This window comes from Homo sapiens, chromosome X (genome assembly GCF_000001405.40).
Source record: "Homo sapiens chromosome X, GRCh38.p14 Primary Assembly".
In the NCBI taxonomy this organism is placed as follows: domain Eukaryota; kingdom Metazoa; phylum Chordata; class Mammalia; order Primates; family Hominidae; genus Homo; species Homo sapiens.
Window position 1 is genome coordinate 17,866,382 of NC_000023.11, and position 12,947 is coordinate 17,879,328.

Consider the following 12,947-nt stretch of genomic DNA (forward strand, 5'->3'; position numbering starts at 1 on the left):
GGCATCACAGCAAAAGTAGAGAAAGAACTTAGGACCATGGCTAGGTTGTGGAACTACTAGAATAAGCAGCTCTAGAGCCAGCCAACCATGCACTTCTGGTTATGTAAATTATTACACTGCTTTATAGGTTAAGCTTCTTTGAGTCAGGTCTCTATCACTCGTAATTTCATTGAAAGCATCCTAAGACATACATGCAGTAACTGGGTTGTCTTTGTTTTGTTTTACCTCCAATTCTGGGGATAAAGGCCATTCTTGAGTCAAGCAATCTGACAAAAACAAGTGTAGGGAAGAAGTAGGTTATGGATCATCATGGTAAACTGACTTTAAAGTCAAACGAAGGCGATAATCTAAACTAAAACGCGGGTGAAGGCCCACTGTGCATGGGGCGGTTTCTGTTTTAGCCATGCCTTCAAGGCACACTGCTGCCTCTGATGGAGGAGGGCAAGACTCCTGTGCAAGGGGTCAGGATGGGGAACGTCTGTCCCCTGCTCTGTCAAAGTGGCTTCGAGTAAGCTCTCCTCTCCCTCTGGGACGTAGATGCCTCACACCAGTGGTAGCCGTCCTTGCCCTTGCCTCTCATCTCTCTGAGTTGATGGTGCACGTTGAGGGAGGCCTCATGGCTTGCACCTCCTGCAGACGCCACTTTAGTTCTCCCGGTGTGGGCAGCCTGCAGTAAGTAGTTGTTGAACTCACTGCTATCTCCCTTCCCATTTGGGCTTGGTCTCTTACTCCGAAAGAGCTGGAACAGCCACTTCTCCTACAAGTATCATGACCGTCAAACACACCTTCCTTTTCGGTGTGGAGGGGGGATGTGGGCAGAGTGGGGTTGGGGTTGGAGTCATGTGACTGTCACTTGAGGCCACGAGGGTTTGCCCAAATCCATGGAGAGCCCTGTACAAGCCACGTGAGAAGCCAGGCTGCATGAGACAGAGTAGGGTCCACGAAGGTCACCAAGGAAGGACCAGAACATGATTATAGCCCCAGTAGAGAGTTGAAGTCAGGGGCATGAAATTATAAGGCAAGGGATGTCAGTGAAGTGAAAAATACACCCAGATTTGTTTTGGGCAGTGAATTATCTTGTTGGATGGGACACCTGTGCCAACTGTGGCATGAGTGTGGGTGAAATACTGGCACATCACAGACCAGGGGTAGGAGAGTTCAGAGATGACCCCGCACAACCCAGCCTTCGCATGCAGAACATGAGGCTCAGAGATGTTTGCATAGAAGAACTGGATACACACACGCAAACACACGCACACAAGCACATGCACGCATGTACACATGCACGTGTACACGCACTCACATGCACACAGGCCCGCACATGCACGTAAACGCACACATGCACACACACACACACACCCATTCTCACATGCCAAGTCCTGTTCCCTTTCCAGGTGTGAGACTCACCTTTTCCTCTCTTAGAAGTTCATTCACAAATGAGCCAGATTCATCCCTGAATAAGAAAGGAAAAATGGGCAAAATTGCGCTGGACTAATGGGGATTAACAATTAGAACATTGCCTAAAACAGATCCTAAAAAGTAACTGCGCAGACACTCCAAGGCGGGAGTGTTATTGTTAAAGAGGACAATGGAGTGGCCCATAAATATCCTCGATTGCCCAAATACACAGGCCCCTGGTGCCCGTCTCTGTGGTGAGGCCGAGATTTAGCTCTGCAGTGGTCGCTTGGGAGAAGAGCTAGTGAGGGCTTTCTCAGCCATCAAACCCATTGGCTTTTGGTAGGGATTAGTTCCCCCAGAGACACAATCTGTTTGACCTGGCTCACATGCATTTCATGAACAAATGAGAGTGTGGCAGTCAGTTTCACAAATGATCTGTGCCACAACCTGCATCGCATGCTCCTACCACCCTCAGCGTGTCCATGGCCTGTTAGGTCTGCTCTGATTCACGCACTGCAAGTCTCCCCAGTGTAACTGGCAAGGGTTCTGTTACTATAAACTCAAGGAATAAGAGGAGTTGCCAGGTCATTCATTTTTGAACAGGACATCAATGTGTAGTACAAAAGAGACTTTAATAGTTTCATTTTTCTTCACCTGGGAGAATTTCTCAAATTATAAAATTTTATGAATGGAACAATGTTATAGAAGAAGGAAAAGAGAGCAAGTGTAAAATCTCTCATGTCTAGGCTGGTTAGCATTTTTAATTGCCGTCTTTGCATTTGTGGCCTCTTAGTGCCAAGTCAACACCTAAGTGCTGTCATAAGATCACTTACCAGCAGCCCCTGCTCACCTTGGCCTCTTTCAGGTGAATTCTCTGATGCTCTTCACCCCTAGGATTATCCTTGCCCAATTTCTGAGCCAGACCACCAGTGTGTTGGGCCCCAGATGAGGCCTGCTTCTCTCTTCTAAGCTCCTCGTGTTCTTGAGGGGAGTACACTAGGCATCGCTCAGCCATGGAGCCTTAGCATTCAACAGTCATCATCCATGACCTCTTCCCACATTGGCCCCATTTATAGAACTAGCCTTCTGGGTCTGATTGTCTTCGTAGCTCTCTAAGCTTCCATTAGAAATGTGGCTCCACAACCCAGCCCAATTCACTAAAGTGTCTCCATCAATCTCTGATGTCCACATTTCTGTGCACATGGGAGAGAGTTGGTTTCTCATTCACTGACATCCTGCCTTAAAGGAATTGTTCTCAAACTTAACAGGCACGTTTCATAAATAGTGGGCCACTACCATCTTGGATTTCTGTTTCACTCCATCTATTAGATGAGTCCTTGTTTTTTGAAGAAGAATCATTTTAGAGGAAATAGAGGTGACATTTTGAAAGCTACAACATTATTGCTTCAGAAAATATTCACAATTAATATAGAAATACTGTAGAATACATATAATTTATTATTTTTTAAACAAATGGTTCATTGTAATAGTCATTAAAGATTAAATATAAGTGTAAAAGTGTATTGTATCTTCAGTGTAAACATTCAATTATAACCACTTTCAGTGATCTTTATATTTCAAGTTTTTCTCTATACTATTTACTCAACTGAAATAATATTACATGTGGTTTTAGTCCTGTTTTTATCCCTTAACATCTTCAAAGAATAAGCATTTTATCATAGCATTCTAATCACACTACACAATCACCATAAATATCTTTAATGGTGGTATACAATTTTATTAGGTGGATTTATTACCATATACTTAGTTTTCCCCCATTAGAAGTATAAGCCACTTCCAAAATCTGCTGTTAAAAAGAACACTGCAATTAATATCTTTGTGTATATCAATGTTTTCCATTAATAATTATTTCTCAGCATAAATACACAGCTGTAATATTTCTGGGGCAGACACAGAGACATGAACATGTTGCCAAACTGATTTTGAAAAGGATATATGAGGTCTGAGACCACCTGCCTTGTGAGTACTCACCAGTCTGGGCCAAAAAATTTGACTCATTTTGTTTTAAAATGTATTTCTCTGATTACTAGCAAGTTGAGTCATTTTTATTTGTGTACTTGCTACTTCGATATCCAAGGGAATTGTCTTTATTCACTTTTTCATTAAATCACAGTGTTCTCATCTTATTGGTGTGTATGTGTCATTTACTTAATGCAAAATAAATGTTTGTCATAATCGCAACAAATATATACTCCATTTTCTTTTCATTCCGTGAGTGTGGCTACTATTTTATATAGATAAGATTTTTATTTTTGTAAAGTTAAATCTATCCATCTTTTGTGTTGTGAAGCCTTCTATTGTTTGAGTAAAAACTAATAAATCCTAATTAATTCAATTTTTATTCATTTAGATTTGTTTGGTATTTATTGTAAGGTGGATTCTAATTGTATCATTTTTTCCCCAAGTAGTTGGCCAATTGTCTCAACGCTATTTAATATGAAATACCTTCTCCATTAATTTGTGCTTTCTATTTTAGCAAATAATAAGCTAATATTTAAAAGATTCTAATTCAGGGCTGTCAGTTCTGTTTTGTTGCTCTGTCTCTCTTTTTTTAAGATAAAACTTTTTATTTTGAGATAATTATAGATTCACATGCAGCTGTAAGAAATAATACAAAGAGATCCCCTGTGTCGTTTACCCAATTTCCCTATTGGTAATGTCTTGCAAAACTGTAGTGCGATGTCACAGCCAGCATATTGACATCGATACAATTCACAATCTTATTAAGATTTCTCCAGTTTTATTTGCACTCAGGTGTATGTGTGTGTGTGTGTATTTGGTTGTATGCAATTTTATTATATGAGTAGGTTTGTGTATCCACACTATAGTTAATATATAGAACATTTCCATCACAACAAGGATCTCTCTTATTGCCCTTTTATAGCCACATCCACCTCTCTTCCTCCCCTCCATCCCATCCCTACCACTGGCAACCACCACTCTGTTCTCCATTACTAATTTTTTTTTTCATTTAAAAATGTCACATAAATGAAAGTATACAGTATATAACCTTTTGGGATTGGTTTTTTTCACTCAGCATAATTCACTGGCGATTCATCCACATTGCTGTGTGTATCAACAGTTCATTCCTTGTAATTGCAGAATAGTATTCCATTGGGACATACATACCATACCATGGTTTATTTAACCATTAACCTGTTGGAGCACATCTGGGCTGTTTTCAGTTTTGGTCTGCTGTCAGCTTTGGGCTACTATGGATAAAGCTACTATGCACATTCCTGCATGGGTTTTTATGTGAACATAAGTTTTCATTTCTCTAGGATAATGCCCAAAAGTTCGCTTGCTGGATTGTATGGTAATTGCATGCTTGGTTTTTTAAGAAACTGCCAAACTGCTTTATAGAGCTGTTCTAACATTTTACATTCCCACCAGAAATGTATGGGTGAACAAGTTTCTCCACATACTCACCAGTTTTTGGCATTAGAACCATTTTTATTTTAGCCATTCTAATAGGTGTGTAGTGATAGCTCATTGTGGTTTTAATTTGTATTTCTCTAGTAGCTAATGATGTTGAACATCTTTTCTTGTGCTTGTCTACCACCTGTATGTCCTCTTTGGTGAAAGGTCTGTTCATACTTTTTGCCCATTTTATGATTGGATTGTTTGGGTATTTATACTGTTGAATTTTGAGAATTCTTTATATATTCTAGATATTAATTCTTTGTCACATGTGCGGTTTGTGCATATTTTCTCTCAGTCTGTATCTTGTCTTTTTATCCTTTTAATATGGTCTTTTACAGAGCAAAAGATTTTACTATTTATTTATTTATTGCCTATGGATGTCCAATTGCTCTAGCACTACTTTTTGAAAAGCCCATTTTTCCTCTTTTGGGTTGTTTTTGCACCTTTGTCAAAAATCAGTTGGCCATATTTGTGTGAGTATTTCTGGATTCTTTACTCCATTCTACTTATCTATGTATCCATGTGTCTGCCCCTCCACCCACACATACTATCTTGATTACTGTAGCTATATTGTCATCATTAATATCAGGTACAGTGATTGCTTCTAGTTTATTCTTCTTTTTCAAGATAGTTTGAACTATTTTAGTTATTTGGCCTTTCGATATAAATTTTAGAAAAAGCTTGTATATGTCTATAAAAATTTTTGCTGGGATTTTGATAGGAATAACTTTCAATCTATAGATCAAATTGAAAAGAAATGACACCTTTAGTATGTTGAGTCTTCTAATTCATTAACTTAGAATGTATCACCATTTATTAAGGTCTTCTTTAACGTCATCAGCACATTGTCATTTTTCAGTTAAATTCAGACCTAAGTGTTCACTTTCTTTGCAGTGATTGTAAGTGGTATTGTGTTTTAAATTTCTGCTTCCATATGCTCTTTGTTAGTATATAGAAATAAGACGGATTTTTTGTGCTCATCTTATATTCTGTGACCTTCCTAAACTCAATTATTGCAATTATTAATTCTAGAATATCTTTTTATATTTTAGAAATTCCTCGGAATTTTCTACATAAGCAATCATGTCATCTGCAAATAGGAACAGTTTTGTTTCTTTCTTTCCAATCTGTATGCCTTTATTTCTTTTTCTTGCTTTACTGCAGTGGCCAGAACTTCCAGTATTATGTTGAGTATGAGTGGCAAGAATAGACATCTTTACCTTGTTTCTGATCTTAGGGAGAAAATATTCAGTCTTTCACCATTAAGTATAATGTTTTCTATAGGTTTGCTGTAGATACTCTTTGTCAAGTGGAGATAATTCTTCTCTCTTCCTAACTTGCTGAGAACTTTTATGATGAATGAGTGTTAATTTTGACAAATGTGTTTTTTGCATCAATTAATATTGATTATCTGATTTTTTGTTTAGCCTGTTGATATGATAGTTTACATTGATTTATTTTTGAATGCTGTATCATTCTTTTATATCTGGAATAAATTTCACTTGCCCCATGTGTATTCTTTTAATACATTGTTGGATTTGATTTGCTATTTTGTTAAGGATTTTGGTGTCCGAGTTTATAAACAATATTGATATCTACTTGTACTTTTTTTGTACCATTTGTGTAGTTTTGATATCAGGATATTTGTCTCACAATATAAGCTGGAATTTTTTTCTCTTATTCTATTTCCTGGAAAAGATTATGTATAATTGGTGTTATTTCTTCTTTAAATGTTTGATAGAGATTTCCAATGAAACTGTCTGGGCTTGGATGTTTCTTTTTGAAGGAGTTTTTAAATTACAAATTCAATTTCTTTAATGGTTATAGGACTATTTATTTAATCTTGGCTGACATTTGGTAGTTTGTGGTTTTGGAGGGATTGGTCAATTTATTCCAAGTTGTTAAATTTATTAGTATAAATTATTTGTAATATCCCCTTATTTTTCTTCTAATGGCTATGAGATCTGTAGTGATAGTCTCTGCTTCATTCCTAATATTGGTGACTTGTTTTCTTTATTTTTATTTTTATTTACTGTACTAAAATGTTATCAATTTCATTTCATTTTTTGATGAACCAGCATGTAATTTTATTTCATTTTTACTCACTTTTCTGTTTTTCATTTTATTGATTTCTGCTTTTATGATTTCCTTCATTCTGCTTGCTTTGGGCTTATTTTACTCTTCTTTTCCTAGTTTATTGAGGTAGCAACTTAGATTACTGATTCAAGACCTTGCATCTTTTCTAAAGTAAGTTTTTGATGCCATAAATTTCCCTCTCAGTGCTGCTTTAGCTGCATCCCAGATATTTAGTTATGTTGTATTTTCCTTTTAATTAATTTCCATTTTTTTATTTTCTTGGAGACAACCTCTTTGACACATGGATTATTTAGCAGTGTGTTGCTTAATTTCCAGGTGTTTAGAGATTTTTCTTCTTCATTCTTTCTGTTATTGATTTCTACTTTGATTCCATTAAGGTCAGAGAACATGCCATATATACTTTTAACTCTTTCAAGTGTATTGAGATTTGTTTTATGGCTCAAGATATTGTCTATTTCAGAGACCGTTATATGGATTATTGAAAAAGATGTGTATTCTTCTGTTACCGAGTGGGATGTTTTATATATGTCAATAGGATCCTGATGGTTGATTGTGTTGTTCAGATCACCTATATCCTCTCTGATTTTCTTTCTAGTAATTTTATCGGTTGCTGAGATAGAAGCATTGAAGTCACTAACTGTAATTGTGAATTTGTCTATTTCTCCTTTCAGCTGTATTAGCTTATGCTTTCATTCATTTTAAGGCTCTGTTCTTGGATGCACGTATATTTATAATTGCTATAGCTTCTTGGTATATTTACATAATGTCTCTTTCTATCTGTAGCAATTTTCTTTGCTCTAAACTTTATCTTACATTAATATAGGTTCTCCTAATTGTTTTTTGTTTTTGTTGTTGTTTGTTTGTTTGTTTTTTTGAGACAGAGGCTCGCTCTGTCGTGCAGGCTGGAGTGCAGTGGTGTGATCTCAGCTCACTGCAACCTCCACTTCCCAGGTTCAATTGATTCTCCTGCCTCAACCTCCCAAATAGCTGGGATTACAGGCACCTGCCACCATGCCCTTTTTTTTTTTTTTTGTATTTTTAGTACAGGCAAAGTTTTACCATGTTGGCCAGGCTAGCCTCAAACTCTAGACCTCAGGTGATCCGCCTGCCTCGGCCTCCCAAAGTGCTGGGATTGCAGACGTGAGCCACTGCGCCTGGCCCTAATTGTTTTAATTAATGTTTGCATAGTATATCTGTCTCTATCCTCTTACTTTTAACCTACCTATGCCCTTGAATTTGAGGGTTTTTTTGTAAACCACATATAGTTGAGTTGTTTTGTAAATCCATTCTGTCAGTATCTGTCTTTTTATTGGTATATTCAGACCTTTTACATTTAAGATAACTATTGGTATGTTAGAACCTTAGCCTACCATTTTATTGTTTGTTTTATGACAGTTTCCTCTGTTTATCATTCTTCTGTTTCTGTCTTCTTGCCTTCCTGTGGGTTACTTGAACATTTTAATAAATCTATCTTGAATTATTTATAGTGTTTCTGAGTGCATCTCTTTATATAGCTTGCTTAATTGTTGCTCTGGGTATTACAATATAGATATGTGATCTATCACATTCTACTGGTAGCAGCATTTTGCCACTTCAAGTCAACTGTGGAAACTTTAATTTCATTTAGATCCCTTTAATCTGATTGCTTTCAAATATAATTGTGTTGAGTATCAAGTGTTATTATAACTAATGTTTTAATCATTAAATATAATTTATAAAGCTTGTAGGAAAGATAGTCTATTTTATTCACCCAGATTTCTGCTCTTTCTGTTGTTCTTTCCCACTTCTTGATGCTCCAAGATTTTTTCTTTTATAATTTCCTTTCTGTTTGAAGAATTTCCTGTAGACAATATTTAAGGGTAAGTCTGATGGTGACAAATTCTCTTGGTTTTCCTTCTTCTGCAACTACTTTGATTTCCCTTTCATTCCCAAAGGATGTTCTAGATCGGCAGTTCTTTGCTTTCAGAACTTTAAGAACATTGTATTACTTCCTTCTGGCCTCCACGGTTTCAGATGAAAACCCCATTGTCATCCAAATTGGTGTTCCCTGATAGGTAATGCATCATTTCTCTCTGGCTGCCTTCAAGATCTTATCTTTGCTTTAGTTTTCAGAAGTTTAACTATGATATGTCATGATATGGATTGGGGGGAGGTTATCTTGTTTGAGGTTTGCTCAGCTTCTTGCATCTATGTGTTTCTTTTGCCACATTTGAGACGCTTTCAGTCATTATGTCTAATATTCTTTCAACCCCACTCTTTTTCCTCTTTTTCTGGAACTCCAATTATATATATGTTTGATCTTTTGTTATTGTTCCACAGGTCTTTGGGAGCCTGTTCATTTTTTTCCAGGCTATCTCTCTGTTTTTCAGATCGTGTGAATCTTCTTAATTCATCCTGAAGTTCACTGATTCTATCTGCTGACATATTTGCTCTACTATCAACTCCATCCAGCAAGTTAATAAATATGGAGTATTATACTTTTCATTTATAAGATTTTCATTTCATTATTTTTTATAACTTGTATTTCTTTTCTGAGGTTTTTTCTACTTTTTCACTTATTTAAAAAGAATTCATTGTTATTCATTTGAAGTTATTTATTATGCTTGCCTTAAATTCCTTGTCAGATAATTCTAGCATCCTATTTATCTTTTTGTTGCCATGCCTGGATTGTCTTTTTTCATTCAAGTTGTGATTTCCCTGGCTCTTGATATGGTGAGTGACTTTTTATTGTATCCTGGACATTTTTTGCTTTTATCTTAGGAGATTCTAGGTCCTATTTAAAGAAACCAGTTTAGGTTTAGCATACAGATCCTGATCTACTTTTTTGGACTGTGGTTTCAATGACAGTTTAATTTTCAGAGCCTTTTCAGTGCTTCTTGGTATGCTTGATTTAGCTGGTGCTGCTGGGACTTCCACTGGTTCCTGGTGGTGCTGCCTGAAAGGATCAAAAGGGTTTCCCAGTGCAGGGCCACCTGGTGTCTCAAGATGGAAGAAAGGAATCTCTAGCCCATAAGGATAAAGAATGCTTCCTAGGAATAAGCAGCCTATTGTGTGTGGCAGAACCATCTTGCCAATGCCAGCCTGCCACCCAGTGTCTCTCAGTAGAAGTGGGTGTGTCTCAGGTCTTGCAGGGGAAGATAGAATTTGCCTTAGCTGCTTACTTTTAGCAGGGCTCCTGATCTATCCTTCTTACCAGCACTGTAGGCTCACTGGGCATTATCAGTAGGACTGCCATTCATTCTGGTGGAGAAATCAGCCTACCTGCACTACCTCGTGTTGCCAGGTTGAGGGCTTGGAAATGCCAGGCCAGGGTTGCCTTCTTCTGCTGGGTAGGGGGATATAAGACACTCTGCTGCTGTGTTGTTCCTTCAGTACTGGAATCCCAAACCAGCTCACCTTCCTCTTATCACCTTTCATAGTGTTCTTTTGTTTGCCTTTTGAGTTTTTTCTAAGGTTTATAGTTGTACTTAGCAGGTAGGAGCAGAGAGAAACAGGTCTAAGCCATCTTGTCCAGACCAAAACTTCATTTTAATTGTTAATTTCTTGTTTTACAACTAGAGAAAAATTCAAGAAAATGATTATTATGATTATTATATGATCAATACTAAAAATACGTTTGGCATAGAAAGCAAGCACATTTTTGGAAATGATCTGCTGCAGGTGTCAAATATATTAGCTATGCCACCAAGAGTGGGCAAAGTAAAAGGAGAGATTAGAAAGACTGTGAAGAATGGCCTTGAAGCCAAGGGTGGAAAGAGTGTTAAGAAGTTGAGAAGGTTTATTATATTTGTTTTATGATGGGATTAGAAACCAGAGTATCTGGAGCATTAGGTTGCTTGCCCAAAATTGCTAGGGCATTTGAGTGCAGGATGGTTGCAGAATTCAGGATTATGACATTCCAAGACCATGGTAACAGCACACTGTTTCCCAGAGCACTGCTTTCAAACTCCAAACACAACATTTGCTAGAAGATATACTGCAACAGTGAAGTTAACCTTTTGCTTATCTGGCAAATGAACAAAAAGTTTCAATAGAAGCAAATGTTTACTAAATTCGACTAGTATTAAATGTCTGTTATTAATTATGTCTTAATCATGCTGCCTGGATGGGACTTAATTAATGTTCATGAATTCATTTTGAGATAATAATTAGCAAGTGGAGTGCTTGCTCTTAGAAGAAGAATATTAAATTATTATTGGCATTTGGATAAGTTTGTGAAACCATTATTTATGTCTTTTTTTAAGCTTCTGACTTCTAGAATTTATCTACAACAATTTCGAATAAGTCGCATTTCTCTAAGTTTCATTTGCCCATGTTTCACTTCCACCTAAGTTAAACATTTGCTCTCAATAGTATATACAGGATTTCAGATAAAAGCTGACCACTTTCTGATTAAATGTGTTTGAGTCTTTCATTTGATTTTTAAAATTTGACCCTGAAAAAAATATATGAAATGGATTTAAAATTTTTAAGGAAACATCTTTTTTAAAAAACTCAAAACAAGATACCTCTTCCCACCCAGGAAAACAACCCTTCAGGAAAACTGTCCCAAGTGAGGCCAAACTGCAGATAGCGTCCTGGATGAAAATATCTGCTTTGCTACCCAGTCCAAAAGGTCTATGCGTTTTGTTGATTGGACTGTGGTTATTTGTTATGTTGAGACATGGGAAACTACTCTCTGGGAATAGATTACGATATCTTTGGAAAGTCTGTTAACATTTTCAAGACATTGGGTTGCCATCTCCCCCATGCCCCAAATTTGTCCAACACATTAAATGGTTTCCCAGCATCCTGAAAATGTGAATCAAGCTTCCACAGGTGTCTGTCTTGCAGTTAGCTTATGCTTCTGCCTGAGGTGTAACTGGTTTCAGTGGTCTTAGCTTCCTTTTGCATGTCTCATGATATTCATAGTAAAAGTTATGATGCTTTGGTAATTTGAGATCTCACCTCACAGCTGAGCTATTAAATCATGACTGTTTGAGGAGGTGAGATGCCAAGGATTTGGGTGGGAATGATCAGGTTTCTAAATTATGGGAGCAATAAATTGTTAGTATAAATTATTACTCAATGTGCAAGAATCTAAGGGTCATGTCCACAAAATATCATTCATGTGATGTACAAATGATTCACCAAAGGGAGTGATGCACGTACAGGGAAGGCTCTAACATCTATAATTCTGCAACTCAGGAGAGCAAGAAGCAAGTCTGCCCTTGCAAACCTGCTTAGAAGAAGCACTATCATTATTAGTTCACCTCCTTATTTGTTCCTGTATATCATATCATCAACTGGTGCTTTAGAGTACTTCCTTGTACCAAATACGGCCCTATAAGAAGTGAACAGGTTAAAGTGTCATTGTAATTTTTTATCTGCAATGTGGCCAGCTCTTTAGTGCCAAAGTGGAGGAATGATTACTTGATATTAAATAATCATTTACTTATTTGATAGTAGAAGAACCCAAATTATTATTTGTAACCCAAATGTTTTCTTGGGGATATGAGTGAAATCAAATTAATCCAAACTTCCTGGCTTTTAACTCTATTTACTTATTCAGGGTCACCAGTTTTCTGGAAAAGTCCCCCCTTTCCCAATTGAGTATTCCTGGATATCCCCAGCAGGAATTCACAGGGAGCTCATGAATCAGTATGGCAGCTACAGGTCCCACACATCCATTATCAAAATTTCCTTCTCTTCCTGAATAGGCTTCCCCTCGTCAGTGTTATCTGCTCAGAAGTACAGTGAAAGCCTCTTCCCAGTGCTGCTGCTGATGGTGAGAATTCCAGCTTCCCCACCAAGTACATTCTCTTGCCATGCTCTCTAAATAGTCCATGATGCAGTAGCAGACAGCATTCTGTTTTGGACAACAGTTCAGAGATTGTCTCTATTCTCTACTGTGTGATATTCTTTGTCATCCCAGCCCCCAAGACAAAAATACTTGTATTCAGTCTCACCAGAGTATCTCATAGAATGTCTCCTTCCATGTTAGAGCTCAATATCTTTTTCCACTGGGG